This window comes from Homo sapiens, chromosome 12 (assembly GCF_000001405.40).
Source record: "Homo sapiens chromosome 12, GRCh38.p14 Primary Assembly".
Lineage (NCBI taxonomy): Eukaryota > Metazoa > Chordata > Mammalia > Primates > Hominidae > Homo > Homo sapiens.
Window position 1 is genome coordinate 69113894 of NC_000012.12, and position 21800 is coordinate 69135693.

Genomic DNA, 21800 nt, shown 5'->3' on the forward strand with positions numbered 1-21800 from the left:
GATCTCGGCTCACTACAACCTCTGCCTCCCAGGTTCAAGCGATTCTCCTGCCTCAGCCTCCCGAGTAGCTGGGACTACAGATGTGCACCACCACGCCCAGTTAATTTTTGTATTTTTAGTAGAGACTGGGTTTCACCATGTTGGCCGGGATGGTCTCGATCTCTTGACCTCATGATCTGCCCACCTCAGCCTCCCAAAGTGCTGGGATTACAGGCGTGAGCCACTGCGCCTGGCCTCAGCAGCAGTTTTTATAAGCCAAATTTTCCAGATTGGAAAGACTGATCAAAGAAGTATTTTTATCCAAGGAATAAGTTACCTGTGGAGAACCTCAACTCAGACCAGTCAGGACTGACTCCAGTGTTTCTAAACTTTAAATGGCGAATCCAGAATGTAATGTATCTCAAAACGGTAATGTGATGGTTAATATTGAGTGTCAACTCGGTTGAAGGATGCAAAGTATTGTTTGGATTGAAGGATGCAAAGTATTGTTTCCGGGTGTGTCTGTGAGGGTGTTGCCAAAGGAGATTAACAATTGAGTCAGTGGCCTGGGAGAGGCAGACCCACCCTCAATCTGGGTGAGCACCATCTAATCAGCTGCCAGCACAGCTAGGATAAAAGCAGGCAGAGGAACGGGAAGAACAAGACTGCCTGTCTTGTAGCCTCCATCTTTCTCCTGTGCTGGATGCTTCTTGTCCTTAAACACTGGACTCCAAGTTCTTCAGTTTTTGGACTCTTGGACATACACCAGTGGTTTGTCTTTTGGGGCTTTTGGGCCTTTGGCCATAGACTGAAGGCTGCACTGTCGGCTTCCCTTCTTTTGAGATTTTGGGACTCAGACTGGCTTCCTTGCTCCTCAGCTTGCAGACGGCCTATCGTGGGACTTCACTTTGTGACTGTGAGTCAACACTCCTTAATAAACTCCCTTTCATATATACACCTATCCTATTAGTCCTGTCCCACTAGAGAACCCTGACTAATACAGCTAAAAAAGTACATTTTCTCAGATGTATATTATAATTTAAAAATAGGCCAGGCGCAGTGGCTCACACCTGTAATCCCAGCACTTTGGGAGGCTGAGGAGGGCAGGTCATGAGGTCAGGAGATCAAGACCATCCTGGCTAACAAGGTGAAACCCCGTCTCTACTAAACATACGGAAAATTAGCTGGGCTTGATAGTGCACGCCTGTAATCCCAACTACTCGGGAAGCTGAGGCAGGAGAATTGCTTGAAACCGGAAGGAGGAGGTTGCAGTGAGCCAAGATCGTGCCATTGCACTCCAGCCTGGGTGACAGAATGAGACTCTGTCTCAAAAAAAAAAATTGAAAATTGAAAATAGTGAATGAAGAAGAAGATGAAGGAGAAGAGGAAGAGGAAGAGGAAGGAGAAGAAGAAGAAGAAAAGAAAAGAAGAAGGAGGAGGAGGAAGAAAGGAGAAGGAGAAGAAGGAGGAGGAGGAAGAGAAGGAGAAGGAGGAAGAAGAAAGGAGAAGGAGAAGAAGGAGAAGGAGAAGAAGAAGAAAGAATAGTGGTTACTACAGGCTGGGAAGTACAGGCTGGGAAGGCTAGTTGGGGGGAGGAGAGCAAAGGTTGGTCAATGGATGCAAGCGTAGAGCCAGATAGGAGAGGTAAGTGCTGGTGTTCTACAGCCCTACAGGGGGACCATCATTAATAACAATATTGTATCTTTTCCAATAGCTGGAAGAGTGGATTTTGAATGTTCCCAACACAAAGAAATGATAAATGTTTGAGATAATTAATATGCTAATCACCCTGATTTGATCATTACACATTGTATACATATATATATATAAATATCACACTGTACTCCATAAATATGTACAATTGATACTGTTCGGATGAGTGAAGGAACACCAGGGCTCTTGTCTCATGCCAAACTGAATAAAACGACACGGACACATGTGGAGTGGTTTTAAGGAGTGGAGAGTTTAATAGGCAAGAAAAAGGGAAAAGAAATAAGCTCCCCTGTACAGAGACAGAGGGAGGGGGGCTCCAAAGCCGAGAGAGAAAAGTGGCTGCTTATATGAGGAGGCTGGAGGAGTGGTGTCTGATTTGCATAGGGCTCAGGGGATTGGTTTGACCAGGCATGTCACCTATGCAGCCCCGGAAAAAACTGGCTCTCCCACCCTAGCCTTTTAATATGAAAATACAGAGAGTCATGATGTTCTACATACATGGGGATAAGTGGGGGCGGCCATGTTGCCAGGAGCATGTGGGAGCAAGGGCAAGGAGAAGAGGGAGGAAATCTCTATGATTGGGTGGACCCAGTTTCTGATGGTTTGTATTAGCATATCAAAGGTTGCCGGCCTGACTCTAAGGCCTGGGGCTTTCCTGCTAGACAAGAACGTCTCTAGGCCGCCTTTTCTTTCTTTCTTTTTTTTTTGAAACGGAGTTTCGCTCTTGTTGCCCAGGCTGGAGTGCAATGGCGTGATCTCGGCTCACTGCAACCTCCACCTCCCGGGTTCAAGCGATTCTCCTGCCTCAGCCTCCCAAGTAGCTGAGATTACAGGCATGTGCCACCACACCCAGCTAATTTTGTATTTTTAGTAGAGAGAGGGTTTCATCCTGTTGGTCAGGCTGGTCTGGAATTCCTGATCTCAGATGATCCGCCCGCCTCGGCTTCCCAAAGTGCTGGGATTACAGGTGTGAGCCATCGCGCCTGGCCGCATCTTGATCTTGGCCGCTTTAAAAGAAACGAAAACTTCCCAAGGACCCCTTTTCCTCTCTATCTGCCTAAAATAATTTTTCTTTCTTTCTTTTTTTTTTTTTTTTCTGTAATGAAGTCTCACTCTGTAGCTCAGGCTGGAGTGCAGTGGCGTGATCTCGGCTCACTGCAACTTCTGTCTCCTGGGTTCAAGCAATTCTCCTGTCTCAGCCTCCAGAGTAGCTGGGACTACAGATGCACGCCACCATGCCTGGCTAATTCTTGTATTTTTAGTAGAGATGGGGTTTCACCATATTGGTCAGGCTGGTCTTGAACTCCTGACCTCAGGTGATCCACCACTTTCAGCCTCCCAAAGTGCTGGAATTACACGCATAAGCCACCACCCTTGGCCTAACAGCAGCAAGTTTTCACCCAATTTTTTGCTGATTAATCCCTACTGATAAGTAGCATTATGGTATATCCAGTCATCCAAGCCAGAAAATTAGGAGTCATTGTTACACCTCGCCTCTTCTATACATCCCCCTCTTCGTGGCCACAAAACCTTGAATTCTCTCCCACAGATTGTTCCCTCAGAAGCCTCCCTGTGCCATCTTCAGTTCAGGCCTCACTGGACCATTGCAAATGCTTCTTAAAGTGGTTTTCTTGTTCTGATTTATCTTCTACAGTGCTGTCTGAATTTTGTCTCTTTTAAAAAATATCTAATGATGTCACTCCTGCTTACTGCATGCTGCATGACCAACCCCAGGCTTTTGACATTCTGGTTGCTAGTTGCCTCCTCACTCGCTCCTCACTCGCTCCTCACCACCACCCTCCACCCTACCCACTGCGCTAAGGCTTCCATACTTGCTTTGCTCTCTCAATGAGTCCTGCCTTCCTCTGAGCCCTCTGTTCCCTCTTCTGTGCTCCGCTCCAGCGTCACCTCCTCTGTGCCATTTTCTCTTGGTCGGAATGCTAGTGGTTTCTTATGACAGTTCTGAGTGTGTTGTATTGACAGGCTCTGTTCTGTCTTCACTGGACTGTGAGCTCCTTGAGGGCAAGCACCTTGCTGCTTACACCGCTGATTTCCTGGCACAGCACCTGTCACAGTGGGAACAGAAGCACAGCAGGCCCTTGGAAGGTAGCTGGCAGTAGCTGCAATTGGTTAAGCAACTGCCACGTTCCAGGCTTAGCATTTTCCATATTCTCATTTCATCTACCCTTATGATCACTCCTTGTTTCATCTTCTTCTGTGACATTTTCCTGGTAAAACTTCATTCCTGGTTGTATTAGTTTGTTAGGGCTGCTGTAACCAAATATCACAGACTGGAAGGCTTAAACAACAGAAATTTGTTATCTCTCCATGCTGGAGGTTGGAAGTCTAAGATCAAGGTGTGAGCAGGTTTGGTTTCTGGTGAGGCCTCTTTCCTTGGTTTGCAAAGTGCCACCGTTGCACTGTGTCCTCACGGGGCCTTTCTTCTGCATGCTCACAGGAAGAGAGAGCTCTCTGGTGTTTCTTCCTCTTCTCATAAGGTCCTGTCCCATAGGATTACAGCCCCACCCTTACGATGTCATTTACCTTAATTACATCTTTTAAGGCCCTGCCTCCCAATACAGTCACACTGGAGGTTAAAGCTTCAACATACAAATTTTGGGAGAACACAATTCAATCCAAAATGCTAAATCTAACTCACTCCCTACTCTTGGGTTTGCACCTGAACAGCCAGACACAGGTGAAGAAAAACATACAACCATGCCCACTAGGCTCACTTTAAAGTTAGGATCTCAAACCTCAAGGGAGCCTTCAGCCCCTCCAGCAAACCCATCACATATTGCTGGTCCATCCACTCAGCCACTCCATGAGGGGACAATTTCACACCGTCTCCTCTGTCCTCAAACTCTCAGCACACCCTCCTCTCTCTTCATCCTCCACTCATGACCTTGCATCCTGTTTCACTGAGAATATCAAACATTCATGTCCCCACTGTTCTGCATTTGTTCCCATAGGCACTCCCTTCTTCCTATAATCGTGGAAAAAACATCCCGAATGAGCAAGCCCAGGATACCACACCAGGACTGACCCTTCACTTATGCACAGATTCCATCCCCCTCACCAGCCTCTGCAAGAATCCTGTCTCCTGCACCATCCATTTCCTCTTTCTCTTGGATAATTTCCTTCAGCATAAAATCAGAAGCACATGACATTAACACAATATCTTCCAGCTTAAAAAACAGACACATTAAAAAAAAAACTCTCCCTAGAGCCCACTTCTCTTGGCTGCTGCCTCATTTAGAAAAGTTCCTTGAAAGACTTGAAGACTTGCTAGCTCCCCTTCCTCACCATCCATTCTCTCTGGAACCCACACCAGTGAGGCAGTCAACTCCCCATTTTGCCAAATCCATACCTGAGGTCACCAATTGTTTCCCAGTGCCAAACAAAAGGGTAGTTCTCAGTTCTCATTATACTTAATCCATGAGCAGCCACTGACAGAATTTATCGCTGCCTCCTTCTTGAAATGCTGTTACTCCTGACTTTTGGGACAACTTGCTCCTCCCCTCTCAGTGGCCACTCGCTCTCAAGCTCCTTTTCTGAATCGCCCCTTTTTTATTCCTGTACATGGGGAGCTTCAGGGCTCCGGCTTCAAACCTCTTTTTTCTCTGCAGTCACTCTCTGGGTGCCAGGTCCTTGGCTTTAAATACCATTTATATCCTAAAGACTCATCAATCTACATCTCTAGGTCAGATCTCTCTCCTAAACTCCTCTCCGCTGTTCAATAGACACATCAAAGTCAACATGTTCAGGACAGAGCTCTTAATTTTCTTTCCCAAAGTTGTTCCTCCTTTAGCATTATCCATCTCAATAAATAACATGATTCACATAGTTTTTCAAGCCAAAAACCTTGAGGTTCTCCTTGACTCTTTTCTCTTATATCTCATATCCAATCTATCAGCAAATCAGGTAGATCAAACTATAAAATAGATCCAGGATTTACCACTTCTCATCATCCCCCCCATTGCCAACCTGGCTCTTGTCACCAATAATTCAAAGGTCCTCTCCCTTGAATTATTGCAAGAGCCTCTTGCTATATAACTTGTCTGCCTTCTTCCGTTTTTGCCTCATTAACATCAATTCTTCACACAGCCGCCAGACTGAGCCTTTAAAAAGGAATCAGATCAGATCATCCCCCTACTCAACAACCCTTGACTGTTCCCACCATACTTCAGGTTTTTTTCTTCTCTTTTTCACCACCCATTTCTTAGCATGAATTCCATCACACTGAGAATAAGAACCAAAAGCCCGTGCTGGGCCTGGCCCTATAGCATCTGTCTCTGGCCTTCCTGTCTGACCTCATTGTCCACCACTCCTTCCCTTCTCTTGCTGTGCTCCAGACACAGTAACGTTCCCGCTCCTCCTTGAACGTGCCAAACGCATGCCTGCCTCAGGGCCTTTGCACTTGCTGTCTTCCTTGCCAGAAATCTCTTTTCCCAGATAGCCACATAATTTGCTTCCTCACATCATTCAGATCTCTGCACAGATATCACTTCCTTAGAGAAATTTTCCTAGACTGCCTCCCCGCAGTCTAACAAACACACTCCATCACTGTCTCCTTAAGTAGCTTTATATTTTTATATTGCCTCATAGCACATACCATGACTTGACATTTATTGTATCTATTTATGTCCTTGTTTATTGTTATGACACTGGAATGTGAGCCCCAAAAAGGCAGACGCTGTCAGTTTTGTTCATTGCCACATCTCTAGCACCTAAGACAGTGTCTGGCACACAGTAGGTGCTTGTATTAGTTAGCTAGGGCTGTCGTAACAGAGTATCTCAGACTAAGTGGCTTAAACAACAAATTTGTCTCACAATTCCGGGGACTAGATGTTCAAAATCAAGGCGTCAGCTGGGTGGATTCCTTCTGAGGGCTAGAGGGAAGGATCTATTCCAGGCCTCTCTCAGCTTGCAAATGGCCATCTTTTCCTTTCATCTGTCATTTGTCTTCCTGTTATTGTATCTCTCTGTCCAAATTTCCCCTTTTCACGAGGACACCAGTCATACTGGGTTACGGCCCAGCCCTAATGATTTTACTTTAACTTGATTACTTCTGTAAAGATGCTATCCCAAAATAAGATGCTATTCTGAGATATTAGGGGTTAGGACTTCAACATATGAATTTTGGTGGTACACAATTCAACATGTAAGAGTGCTCCATGAATTTTTGTTGCATTTGTGAATGCATGAAGACTGATTGGATAAATAAATCCTCAGAACAACCCTTTGCACTGTCAGTGCAACATATAATTATTTTCCCCAATTTACAGTTCGTCTTTTAACTATTTATATCCTGCTAACATGGTTTATTATACGAATCCAATCACATTCTTCTTTTTTTTTTTTTTTTTTTGTCAAGACTGGGTCCTGGCCGGGCGTGGTGGCTCAAGCCTGTTATCCCAGCACTTTGGGAGACCAAGGCGGGTGGATCACCTGAGGTCAGGAGTACAAGACCAGCCTGATTAACGTGGAGAAACCCCCTCTCTACTAAAAATACAAAATTAGCCGGGCGTGATGGCACATGCCTATAATCCCAGCTACTTGGGAGGCTGAGGCAGGAGACTCACTTGAACCCAGGAGCCAAGGTTGCAATGAGCCAAGATCACGCCGTTGCACTCCAGCCTGGGCAACAAGAGTGAAACTCTGTCTAAAAGAAAAAAAAAAAAGAGAGACAGGGTCTCACTCTGTTTCCCAGGCTGGAGTGCAGTAGAATGATAACGGCTCACTATAGCCTCAATCTCCCAGGCTCAGGTGATCCTCCCGAGTAGCTGGGGCTGCAGGCATGCAGCACCATGCCTACCTAATTTTCTGTATTTTTAGTAGAGACAGAGTTTCACCATGTTGTCCAGGCTGGTCTCAAACTCCTGGGCTCAAGCGATCCACCCCACTCAGCCTCCCAAAGTGCTGGGATTACAGGCTTCAGCCATGATGCCTGGCTTCCAATCACATTCTTAAAAGAATACCAATTCCACATATTCCAAGGTTAATAAAATTAATTTAGCCTAAAAGATGGCTGATCAAAGGGTTCCATCCTGTATATTGTCAACAATAAAAACCGTTGGACCCCTGTGTGAATTAACTCAGAAATGAGCTTTTATCAGCAGTAGCACAAATATACACTAGGGGCTAGAGCATGGAGAGGAAAGGCAATGAAACAAGTTTGGAAATGTAAAGCAACCTTTTGTTTATTAATCCTTAGAGAGAATGGTGAAAGGGCTACTAGATTTGTGAGCTAAATTGGTTAGAAAATAATCAAATAGGCCGGGTGCGGTGGCTCACACCTGTAATCCCAGCACTTTGGGAGGCCAAGGTGGGTAGATCACCTGAGGTTGGGAGTTCAAGACCAGCCTGGCCAACATGGTGAAACCCCATCTCTACTAAAAATACAAAATTAGCCAGGTGTGGTGGCTTGTGCCTGTAATCCCAGCTACTCGGGAGGCTGAGGCAGGAGAATCACTTGAACCAGGAAGGCAGAGGTTGCAGTGAGCTGAGATTGCACCATTGCACTCTAGCCTGGACAAAAACAGCGAAACTCCATCTCAAAAAAAAGAAAAGACAGAAAAGAAAACAATCAAATACTTTCAGCCAGGCACAGTGGCTCACAACTGTAATCACAGTATTTTGTGAGGCCCAGGCAGGTGGATTGCTTGAGCCCAGAAGTTTAAGACCAGCCTAAGTAACATGGTGAAACCCCATCTCTACAAAAAAATACAAAAAATTAGCTGGGCATGGTGGCAGACACCTGTAGTCCCAGATACTCAGGAGACTGAGGTAGGAGAATCACCTGAGCCCACGAAATCAAGGCTGCAGTGAGCCATGATTACGCCACTGTACTCCAACCTGGGTGACAGAGCAAGATTCTGTCTCAAAAAAATAAAATACTTTCAACTTTCTCCTGCTGGACATTCCTCCGCCCTTTGCTAAATTCTAAAATATGTGCATATGAAAAAACAATATGATATATAGTACAAATCAATTAAAGTGCTCCTGAAGAAAAAGACAGATAAGCATATAGATTAGACATGTGGATTATAGAAGTATCAGTCCACATTTTATGGGATCTTCAATTACATAAAAAAGTGCCTAAAATTTGTAAGTAGACAGACAAGATAATGAAGTAGCAAAATACAGAACTCACGGTGTTTAATCAATGCTCACAGTGTTGCAAAATACCGTATTGTTATGTGAACAGCTCACTGAGGAGAAGGTACATAAATGGAGCTCAATGTCACAGTATATTAAAATTTAGTGCCAACCTGATCTGACACATATTCAATGGTGCATCATTATGGTGGTGCTTGAAAATTAAGAGTAAATGGGAAGTGGTTCACTTAAGTGATTTTAATTAGCACCTTACACAGTCTAATCAAGAATGTCTAGGTTTTGCTGGGAAAGGAGTGAAGTGAAACATGGCTGAGCAGCCTGCTGCGCTGGGACCCTTCTGAGAAGACAGTGAGGTCCAGGACATGGTGTCCACAGCAATAGATAGTTTCCTTGGTCCAGCAGAGCCATCCAGGGGCCTTTGGACAGCGTGGACACTGATGTCTGGGTTTTACTTGGCTGATCCCTCTGCCTGGAATACTTCCACCCCTCCACCATGTCGGGGTAAGTCAGTCTCATACTTCAGATTTCAGCTAAGGTATCATCTAGATGCATTTACTCATTTAATCCTCAGGACAGTGCCTCATGAGGAAGAAGCACTGAAATTGTAGATCAGAATGGAACGTCTAACACATATAGCCCAATTTCTTCCTCCCTTCTATAGCTGCCTCCAGTTCTCAGCTCAGGATGGAAACTTGGTGAACAGTGGGATCAGCCAGAGCGGGCAAGGCTGAGACACAGATGGAGTGTGTTATCTGGGGATTTGTGTGACCAGTGGTGGTCCAAGATGGCAGACTGTGGGCTGGAGAGGTCCAGGTAGGAGGACATCCAGACAGGTGGACAGAGCAGTGCTGGAGAGTCAGGGAGAGTGGCACAAGTTTAGACCCAGGCAGGCTGCACCCGAAAGGCCTCCCTCAAGACTCTCTATGAAGACACCAGACAGGAACACCCAGCAGGGTTAGAGAGTGAGCCATCTAAGTCAGTACCAGGGGAACTGGAGTCCCAAGTTAGAAATCAAAGTAGGGATCCAGTTGTTGGTCAGTGGGGTACAAGATCAGTGCAAAGCCTTAAGCAAGACTGACCGGAAGCTACCCAAGCTGGTCTGAAAATGTAGAGCTCCTTGATCCTCCCTTGACAAAGGAGACCCTCCTGCACTTTAGACAGGGTTAAGGAGGCACCTGCATGAGAACTGGAGTGCAACAAAGGCAATCATTGCTTCTATGGTTTGTTTGTCCAACTCCTTGTTCTTGTCACTGTGTTGAAGGATAGACTTAATTTCCATATCACAGAGATGCACTAAATGTGTTTGACTTTCAACTTAAAATAACGTTCCTTTTCTTTCTCTTTTATCTAGATCTTAGACCTTGCACTAAGCTAATAATTTACTATGGGAGAGGTCCTTGAGACTCAACACTCAGGAAATAAGGTACTCTGGGGATGTTGCCTAGATACATTGAGTTTGTTTGGCAGGGTTTTTGTTTATTCCGCCTTTGAATTTTGCCTTCAGTACATTGCATTCTCTGCTTTAGAGGAGACTAGATTTGTAGAAATCTCCAGAAATAGGCAAAATCATGAGTATTTTCTCCAACCTAAAATGGTTTGGCCTATTTCATCCCTCTTTAATATTTTGTTTAAGTTTTGCTACCTGTTTTATTTTATGAAAGTGGGGTACAGGGTGTGGGTTTTAATGGTAACGAAGCACAGGTCAAACAACAGCGGAACGTGACCATCGTGACCTAAAAATAGGTCAAAGTCACGTCTCAGGTAGCTGCACAACAAAGCAAATGCCGTCCACCTTTTTTTGGTGTGATTAAACCTAAGTTAAAGTGAAACAATAATGCAAGAATTTGTTTTTTAAAAAAACTAGGAAAAAGGAAGATTGGTTCTTGGAAATAAACCAAGGGATATGGGAGGTGCCATTCTTATTCATTTTTGAAGTGACCTCAGGCCTTGAATGAGGGAGCCCCATGTAACTAGTTTTGGGGGCGTTTAGGGATAGAAATGGGTGTTGTAAATATGCTCCTACTCATGACCCTCCCTACCCCACAACACAGGGACATCACTTTCTTCTTTTAAGCCCACATCTGAGTGCTTACCCTGTGCCGGACCCTGGTCTAGGAACCTCATAGTAACATGAAACATCCTCTCTACAACCCTGTTATGTAGGCAAATTTTATAGATGAGGAAATCAAAGCAGAGACAAGTCAGCTTGCCCAAGGTCACACAGAGAAGCAAGCCACCGATCTAGGAATCAACCTCAGACCCTTTGGCTTCAGAGCCAGAGTGCTTAACTGCATTTAATACTGTTCCCATTTTAAAAGGGATATAGAAAAGGGTCAGAGACTGCGAAACAAAACTCAGAGCAGAGACTGGGGGAAATTAGGGAAAGGGAGGGAATGCTTTCCCCTAATGTAGCCTCCCATTGGCAAATGGGGAAAATCAAGCAGCCACCCCTCCAAACGGCACTCCCAATTCCCCTCTGCTTGTTCTCTTTGCCACAGCGCCTACCATCCGCACGCTGTGCAATGTACTTGTTTGTCATGCTTATCATATTGCCTGTGTCTGCCACTAAGACGTAGGCACATAAGAACACGCATCTTCATCTGTTTTGTTCCCTGAGGTACCCAAGTTTCTAGAACTGTGCCTGGCCCGTGGTAGGCACTCAGGATTGTTTAAATAAATAATACCTGCCACCTAATGAGATAGCTGAAAAAATTAAAATCTTCAAATTAATAACACAAAACAATGTTCAAAACAGTGTTTCATGAATGGGTAAAGTATCAGGAGGCGAAGAAGACCCTTAAGGTATAGCCAAGTACAATGAGATTGTTATCGCTATGTTTCACCTCCAAAGAATTGCTCCCAGTGTAGGAGCAGCCCTGAAATCGAGGTGACACCCTTCTTCCCCGGGGAGATTAGCATATAAATAAGACAAATAAGACTAGACAAAAAGCCACCTAGAAATGAGACAGCAGGAAGCGGGAAGATGGAGGTTGTTGGTTTCGATTTTCTTTTTCTTCCCAGGTTTATTGTTTCACCCTTTCTCTCCGCTTTTTAAAATGTCCCTTTTGATCCACTTGGTTAAATAGCATTCTCAGACACTTCATTCTAGTGGAGTCTTTAATTGCATAATTTTAGAAGGTTGTGCCAGGATTGAAGTTAGACTGCACGGTGGGTTAACTGTGAATCATATTCTGTGTGGGCTGAAAAAGGGGTCTCCACGCGAAATCTGACACGAATAGTGATCAGAAGACAGTGAAGTAAGCCCAGAGAGCCCAAGCTCTGGTCCTTCAGCAGGAGCTCAGCTCCTCCCCTGCTGTTGCTGTCCTTCTTCATCCTTCTGCTGTTTGTGTGAACCATGACCCTCCCTGCAAGGCCTTGCCAGGCGCTGTCTCCACTTCTCCACTTCTTCACGTGGTCCTACCTCAGTGTGGGGCTGACATGGAAGCACAGAATTTTGCAGGATGTTGCATGAGGGATGCTACTGAAGGTTCTTTCTGGTGAGTTCCGGAGATCTGCCCAGGAACTGTGCTCACAATGACACTTTGAGCAACCTCAAGACATACAGTGCCTCACACAGGCGTTGCCATTGCAGATAAATGGCTCCAAGGAGATTCTGAATTACTCCAAAGGTGAATGAGGGAGACGTGGTTTCACACTATTTGTATTAATATACTAATAGCAAAAAGTAAAGGGAACTTGCTAGGTGCCAAGAATGGAATAAGCATTTGCATCAATTTAATCCTCTCAACAACCTTATGAGGAAAAGTGCTATTATTATAATACCTTTCATTATAGATGAGAAAAACTGAGAAGTTAAAAGTGTGTCCAGGGTCACATAGCTAGAAAACAGTAACCACAAGACTAGGACCTAGGCCACTGGCTGCAGAAGCACTGCTCTCAGTCATAACTCAGCTTTGCTCCTCTGTGTTAAAAATGTGCATTGATAATGAAAATACCTGTCCAATAGGGCCCTGAGTGCTTTATAGATTTTCTCATTAAATCCTTATTAAAACCCTATGAGGTGGCCCTGGTTGACCCAAAGGGAACTGCCAGACAAATCTAGACTGGGGGACATTCTACAGGATATCTGGCTATATTCCTCAAGACTGTCAAGTCATGGAAATTAGGAAAGATTAAGAAACTGTCACAGACCAGAAGACACTGGAGAAGCAGGACACGAAACGCAATGTGGTTTCCTGGATTGAATCCTGGATCAGAAAAAATGACATCAGTAGAAAAACTGGGGTAATCCAAAGTCTGGAGTTTAGTTAATAGTAACATACCAAAGTCAGTTTCTTTTTTTTTTTTTAAATTTCATTTTAAGTTCGGGGGTACATGTGAAGGTTTGTTATATAGGTGAATTTGTGTCACAGAGGTTTGATATACAGATTATTTCATCACCCAGGTACTAAGCCTAGTACCCAATAGTTATTTTTTCTCTTCCTCTCTCCCTCCTCCCACCCTCCACCCCCAAGAAGATCCCAGTGTCTGTTGTTTCCTTCTTTGTGTTCCTAAGTTCTTATCATTTAGCTCCCATTTATAAGTGAGAACATGTGTTATTTGGTTTTCTGTTACTGCGTTAGTTTGCTAGGGATAATAGCCTCCAGCTCCATCCATGTTCCTGCAAAAGACATGATCTCGTTTTTTTTATAGCTGCGTAATATTCTATGATATATATATATATAGCACATTTTCTTTATCCAGTCTGTCATCGATGGGCATTTAGGTTGATTCCATGTCTTTGCTATTGTGAACAATACTGCAATGAACATTCACATACCTGTGTCTTTATGGTAAAATAATTCACATTCCTCTGGGTATACAGTAAGGGGATTGCTGGGTCGAATGGTTGTTCTGCTTTTTGCTCATTGAGGAATCGCCATACTGTTTTCCACAATGGTTAAACTAATTTACACTCCCACCAACAGTGTATAAGTGTTCCCTTTTCCCTGCAACCTTGCCAGCATCTGTTGTTATTATTATTATTATTATTATTATTATTATTATTATTATTATTGCCAATGTCAGTTTCTTTCTTTTTTTTTATTTGAGACAGAGTTTTACTCTTGTCACCCAGGCTGGAGTGTAGTGGTGTGATCTCGGCTCACTGCAACCTCTGCCTCTTGGGTTCAAGCGATTCTTCTGCCTCAGTCTCCCAAGTAGCTGGGATTACAGGCATGGGCCACCATACCCGGCTAGTTTTGTATTTTTAGTAGAGACAGGGTGTCACCGTGTTGGCCATGCTGGTCTCGAACTCCCGACCTCAGGTAATCCACCCACCTCAGCCTCCCAAAGTGCTGGGATTCCAGGCATGAGCCACTGCACCAATGTCAGTTTCTTAGTTTTGGCAAATGTACCACATTAATGTGAGATGTTAACATAGAGAAAACTGGGTAAGGGGTAAGTGGTAAAACTCTCTACTATCTTTGCAACTTTTCTGTAAATCAAAAATTACTCTGAAATTAAAAGTTTATTAAGGAAGAAACCCTATGTGGTAGGCACCAGGACAGTTTTACACCAGAAGACTGTAGCTTAAAGAGGTTAATTTGCCTATAGTATCACAGCTACCGAAGGATTTATCCTAATCTACCACTAGCACAATTTAAACAGGATTGCATGTGGTTCATTTAATCTCTTAGCACCTTTTGTGGTATCCTATGGGCCATTATAACCTGATGACTGCTGGGAGGGCCTGGCATTGCCACATAGCTCTTTTCCTGACCCAATAGCAGCACCTTATAGTATTTATTGAACATGCTTTATTTTATTTGATTGTTAAAACAACCCTCCAAAGTATTATTACATATTATATACAAGGAAACTAAGCCTTAAAGAGGTTCAGGGATGGGCACTGTGGCTCAAGCCTGTAATCCCAGCACTTTGGGAGGCTGAAGTGGGTGGATCACGAGGTCAAGAGATCGACAGCATCTTGGCCAACATGGTGAAACCCCTTCTGTACTAAAAATACAAAAATTAGCTGGGCGTGGTGGTGCGTGCCTGTAGTCCTAGCTACTCAGGAGGCTGAGGCAGGAGAATCACTTGAACCCAGGAAGCAGAGGATGCAGTGAGCAGAGATCACACCACTGTACTCTAGCCTGGCAACAGAGCAAGACTCCATCTCAAAAAAAAAAAAAAAAAGTTCAGTAACTTGCCCAATGTCATTCAGTAACTAATTGGAGTTTGAATGTGAACTCAAGTCTATGTAAAACCAAAGCATTGGCATAACCACTCCTAATTCACACTCTGTCCTGCCTCCATGCTGCTCATGGTTTTATCGGTCTTAACTATAGCAATAATGAATATTAATTATAGATGAGAAATGACTGTTACAGTGAATGGAAACTTTCTTAAGCACTTTTTGTAAAATAAGGCTGTCATCAGGAAACAATAATCAAAGCAACTATTCCTAGGGTCTTTGAGTTATACTTTCTCACTTTTCTAACAGAGCTGAGTTTTTCACTGCTTTTCTTCCTGCAGAGTCAATATTGCTGTTGTGCAGTGAGCTGGAGGCTGTTCTCTCTATGCATCATAAATACCAACTGTCATCAAAGAATATACACTATCTGCATGTGTGTTACTGAAATGAGCAAAAAGCATACAACTTCATTTCCAAGTTCCAGGATGATTTTATAAAATACACAGTTGAAACAAAATCTCTTAACTTTAGTAAGCGTTTTTGGAGGGAAAATTCCTTGTAGTTCCACATTATGTTTTAAACTCAAGGACTTAAGACCTCATATAGGCTTAAGATCTTTTTCTGTTTCTTTTGTCAACACATTTGTGTTCCCTCTTTTATTAATTATTTGTAAGCAAAATGAGGACAATAGAAGGCAACTTCTTTTGCTTTCCAAATTGTAATTTCTGAGGAAACTGTTGAAGAAAACTGCCCTTTTTTCATGTAACAAAAAATGTTTAGGTTGTGGCCATGCTATTTCTTTGCCGCTGAAGTTAAGGAAAGCCTAGTGCTCACTTTCTCCAGCTACCAGATGAGACAAACCACAGTTATTTCTTGGTCAAGAGACCTGAAAGGTTAAAATGTGGTCATCCGAGCCAGTAAAGAGAACACAGCAGTAACCTTTGACCTTCTCTCCTGCAACTCTAATTGCTTGTCCCAATGCTGGGCCAATGCTCAGCCCGTAGAGACATCTTCCATTGGGCCCAGAGACATCTTCCATTCAGAAGCTCAACTGGGGCTGAGGTTAATGAAGCCAGTCCACTCGCCCACCAGGTAAGCAACAAAAGTAGAGGCAGTAATATATCCTGGGAGCTCTCAGTGAAGCATCAGGCCTTATACTGAAATACTTTGTATTTTTTTCTTTGAGAAAAGCCTATTTTTCAGTAATAGTTCCGATTGATAACAACAGTAAAGCTAGAAGCAAGTAATGTGTATAAAATACCTACAAATGTACCAGGAATTGTACTACATGGTTTTACTCAAATGATCTAATTTAATCTTGAGTCAGGTGCTACTACTTATCTGCATGTTATAGGTGAAGAAATACAAGGCAATGATTTTGAAACAGTCTTCCTTAGAGCTCCCCCTGGGGAAAGGCAGGAAAATGAGGGCCAGACTCCAGATCCCCACTCCTAACTTAAGCAGAGCAGTTATGCTTTTATCTATTTTGCTTATTAGGCATTAATGGAAACTCATTTTAAAAAAGAGATCCATGCTGTAATGGTTAGTTTTATGTATCAATTTGGCTAGGCAATAATACCTAGTTATTTAATCAAACACTAATCTAGGTGTTGCTGGGAGGATATTTTGTACATGTGATTAACATGTACAGCAGCTGGCATGGTGACATGCCTGTAGTCCCAGCTACTCAGGAAGCTGAGGCAGGAGGATCGCCTGAGCCCAGGAGTTTCAGCCCAGCCTGGGTAATGTAGTGAGACCCCTGTCTCTAAAAAAATTAAAAAAAGATCATTATTTTTAAAAGTCACAACTAGTAGATTTTAGTAAAGGAGATTATTCTTCAAAATGTGGGTATTTTAGTATCATCCAATCAGTTGAAAGGCCTTATGAGCAAAAACTGATTTCCAGAGAGGAAGAAATTGTCTTAAGGCTGCAACATTGGCTAGGCGCCGTGGCTCACGCCTGTAATCCCAGCACTTTGGGAGGCCAAGGCGGACAGATCATGAGGTCAAGAGATTGAGACTATCCTGGCCAACATGGTGAAAACCCGTCTCTACTAAAAATACAAAAATTAGCTGGGCATGGTGGCACGTGCCTGTAGTCCCAGCTACTCGGGAGGCTACTTGCTTGAACCCGGGAGGCGGAGGTTGCAGTGAGCCAAGATCGTGCCACTGCACTCCAGCCTGGCAACAGAGCAAGACTCGGTCTCAAAAAAAGAAAAAAAAAAAAGACTGCAACATTAACTCCTGCCTGAGTTTCCAGCCTGTCCTAGAGACTTTGAACTTGCCAACCCCTACAATCACATGAGCCAATTCCTTAAAATATCCATCTATCTTTATCCTACTGGTTCTGTTTCTCTAAATAACCCTGACTGACACATGGTTTAAACAAAAGCTCTATAGCCTTGCTACTCAATCTGTGGTCTGCAGGGCAGCAGCATCCACATCAGCAGGGAGCTTATTAGCAATGCAGAATGTCAGGCCCCACCCTAGACATACTCAATTAAAAACTGCATTTTAACAAGATCCCCAGGTGATCCTTAAGCACATTAAGTTAGAGGAGGGCTTAATACAACATAAAGAAATTAGACCACAACGATTTTACCAAAATAAAATCCCCAAACATTTCAACCTTGAGGGAGACTCTGAAACTTCTGAAAAAGAAAATAAAAGTTCCACCTTGCCCCCTTTGAACTAGACAGCCCACTAACTGCCTTGTGTCAATGTCATCAACCGCGTGAACTTGTTCTGAAGCCTCCAGGCCACCAAAGCAGAGATATCATAAGCCCAGAAATAGACCTATTTGCTTCTATCAGAGATAGCTTGTCAGCTCCTACTGTATTGATATCCATTTCTCATCCTTCCTCGTGGAAATCAAACATTACTTTATTCTTCTTCATTAGTAGGAACATAAATCGAAGACAGTGAAAAGTGTTGACTAATTGATATCCAGTTCCAAAAGGACTTATAAAATAACTGTCTAAGACAAAGGCATCATCCAGGCTCAACCTTGGATAAAATCCATAAGATTGAATAGAATTTCATAATTTCTTCTCTTTGACTAAAATCCCTCCTGCTTCATATCCAGCTTTGCACTCAACCACCATGTGCTGCTGAAGAAAAGGGTGAGATAATTTCTTTAACCGTTACTGCTCAGTCCATTCATCAGCCCAGGGATAAAACACACCTGACAAGAGCCTCATGTCATTCTCTGTAGCTGAGATTTACAGTACCAGCAGGTGAGTAAGTCACCACCTGCACTGGATGCTATAACTCAGAATTATTTAAATCCTCCTGTGCTTCTGCTAGAATCATTTTCATAATTCATTTTATATACTATTTTTTTTTTAGAAAGGGTCTCACTCTCTTGCCTAGGCTGGTGTACAGTGACGTGATTATGTTTCACTACAGCCTCAACCTCTTGGGTTCAAGCAAGCCTTCCACCTCAGCCTCCCAAGTAGCTGGGACTATAGGCATGCACCACCATACCTGGCTGATTTTTAAATTTTTTGCAGAGATGGGGTCTTGCTTTGTTGCCCAGGCTGGTCTCATACTCCTGGGCTCAAGCAATCCTCCTGCCTCAGCCTCCTGAAGTGCTAGGATTACAGGCGTGAGCCACCATGCCTAGTCCCGTGTTATAGTCTAAATAGACTTGTGGGAAACCATTTCATATGCCAAGAGTCAAAATGAATGACTAGGCTGGGCATGGTGGCTCACGCCTGTAATCCCAGCACTTTGGGAGGCTGAGGCAGGCAGATCACCTGAGGTCAGGAGTTCAAGACCAGCCTGGCCAATATGGTGAAACCCCATCTCTACTAAAAATACAAAATTAGCCGGGCATGGTGGTGCATGCTTGTAATCCCAGCTTCTTGGGAGGCTGAGGCAGGAGAATCGCTTGAACCCAGGAGGCAGAGATTGCAGTGAGCCAAGATCACGCCATTGCACTCCAGCCTGGGCAAAAAGAGCGAAACTCCATCTCAAACAAACCAAAAGCCAAAAAAAAAAAATTGAATAATCTGGTAGGAGACAGTGAGCACCTTTATCCTCAGGCATCACAGCAATTCTCATAGAAATTAGAAGATTTGTGAAATTTCCTCTGGTGAGCAAAGGCTATCCTGCCTTGTCTTTAGCACAGTGGGAACCTGTGGTGCCAGGTGAGCAGGAGGAAAGCCAGGCCCCACCTAAGTTGCATGCTGAGTTCTCATGGGTGGCCCTTTTTTCCTCAATAGCTTGGTGGCCAGATAGCAGCTGGATAGCTCCACTTTAGGTCACCCTAAACATTAATGGTTCTCAACTGGAGAGGGAACAGAATTGTACTGAGCACTTTGTGAAAATGCAGCCCACACCCAGAGATTTGGGTTCCGTCAGCCTGGAGTGGAGCACAGAAGTGTTTGTTAGCAAACTCTCTGCAGGTGATTCTGATAGTCTTCACCTTGCTTGGGTCTCCCTACTTTATAATGATGCTATCTTGGCTGCACGTTAGAATCTTCTGGGGTAGAGAGGAAGGGCTGTTTAAAAATCCTAATGCCCAGATTGTTACTCAGATCAACTAAATCTGACTCTCTGGGAATGAGCCCAGGCATGTGTAGCTTTAAAGCTTCCAGGTGATTCCAATATCTAGCCAAGGTTGAAAACCATCATGCCAGGAACTCTTTCCATCAGGGCTTCTCAAACTTTAACGGAGGAACACTTCACCTGGGGATCTTGATAACACTGTAGATTCTGTTTCAGCGGGTCTGGGGTGGAGCCTGATTCTGCATTTCTAATAAGCTTCCAGGTGATGTCAGTGATGCTGGTCCTTGGACCACCCTTTGAGTAGAAAGGCGTTAAATGACACTATGTCAGCATTTCTAATAGAGTGTTCTCTGTGCTCTAGTGTTAATAAATTTGAGTTTAACTAAGGTTACAAGATAAAATACAAGACATCAGCTAGATATGAATTTCAGGAAAACAGTTGATAATATATGCATAGCATTAAAATGTCCAAATGTTACATGACACACCTTATACTAACGAATTATTTGTTACTTATCTGAAATTCACATTTAATTAGGTGTTCTATTTTTTGTTTTGTTTTTTGTTAAATATGGCAACAGATTTCTTGGTTTTTCTGCTTTATTTTGATGGCAAAGTGTTGCTCGGCAAAAGTGCTGGACATCAAGTATCTTGGAGGCTGGGTGTGGTGGCTCACACCTGTAATCCCAGTGCTCTGGGAGGCCAAGTCGGGAGGATTGCTTGAGCCCAGGAGTTTCAGGTTACAATGAGCTCTGATCATGCCACTGCACTTCAGCCTGGGCAACAGAGCAGGAACTTGTATTATTATTATTTTTTTATTACTTCTTTTTTGAGATGGAGTTTCACTCTTGTTGCCCAGGCTGGAGTGCAATGGTACCATCTTGGTTCACCGCAACCTCTGCCTCCTGGGTTCAAGCGATTCTCCTGCCTCAGCATCCCAAGCAGCTGGGATTATAGGCACCCACCACCATGCCCAGGTAATTTTGTATTTTTAGTAGAGACGAGGTTTCTCCATGCTGGTCAGGCTGGTCTTGAACTTCCGACCTCAGGTGATCTGCCAGGAACTTGTATTTTTAAAAAGTACTGAATGTCAAGTCTCTTTACAGGATGTGGATGACTGAGAATATGAGTGTTCCAATCCTCTCCCCAGGCGAAAGCACACATGTGTACATATACATAATGTTGTGCAAGGGTAGCTGCTACTAAAGCCCATTCTCAAACCCTCTAGTGATCCCATGGGCCCTGGTGAGAAAGCCCATGTCACCCTCCCGCTCAGCAGAAGAGTTGTTCCCGATTGCCTGTTTCCCAAAAAGTTGTTCTGTGGGTCACCAGTTTCACAAAATGTTTACAGATTTTGCATGAAAAAGGTGTTTTGTGGGAAAAAAAAATGCAAATTTTAGATTAAACAAAATTAAGCAGGTTTCTTTCTTGAAAGACCTTGCAAGTGTTTAACAGATGATTGTGCTTTGGGGTTCTCCCAAAAAAGAGATAAAGCGTCTAGTATTTCCCAAATTTATATCGTCAAATATCTTTCTTCTTAAAGGGTATCTCCTAGGATTAGGATTGTCTGAAACACTCTTTAAGGAATGTTGCCTAATTAAATCTGCTTCCCAAGTCTGGCCAACATGGCAAAACCCTGTCTCTACTAGAACTACAACAATTAGCTGGGTGTGGTGCCACATGCCTGTAATCCCAGCTACGCAGGTGTCTGAGGCACAAGAATCACTTGAACCTGGGAGGTGGAGGCTGCAGTGAGCCAAGATCACGCCACTGCACTCCCACCTGGGAGACAGAGCAAGATTCTGTCCCAAAAATAAATAAATAAACAAACAAACAAATAATCTGGCCGGGCACAGTTGCTCATGCCTGTATTCCCAGCACTTTGTGGGACTGAGGCGGGTGGATCACCTGAGGTCAGAAGTTTGAGACCAGCCTGGCCAACATGGCGAAACCCAGTCTCTAAGACAACAAATAGGAGCCGGGTGTGGTGGCGTGTGCCCTGTAGTCCCAGCTACTCAGGAGGCTGAGGCAGGAGAATTGCTTGAACCTGCGAGGTGGAGGTTGCAGCGAGCCGAGATTGTGCCATTGCACTCCAGCCTGGGCAACAGAGTGAGACTCCATCTCAATAAATAAATAAATAAATAAATAAATAAATAAATAAATAAAAATCTGCTTCCTTGTTTTCCTTCTTAATATGAAAAGAATAAATGCTTATTATGAAAAATTTGGAAAGTATGGAAAATATAATAAGAAAATGCTACTCATAATCTTATCACCTAGAGATAACCATTGTTAACATTTTAACCTATTTTACCTTCTAAACTATGAAAGTTGGTGCT

General features: G+C 43.6%; 1 annotated feature.

Moving 5' to 3' along the window:
• Positions 1740 to 2528: an enhancer, noted in NCBI's record as "OCT4-NANOG-H3K27ac-H3K4me1 hESC enhancer chr12:69509413-69510201 (GRCh37/hg19 assembly coordinates)". NCBI's record gives its function as "activates a minimal SCP1, AML or CMV promoter by ChIP-STARR-seq in naive and primed H9 embryonic stem cells {active_cell/tissue: H9 hESC(naive and primed)}" and the evidence as "EXISTENCE:reporter gene assay evidence [ECO:0000049][PMID:30033119]".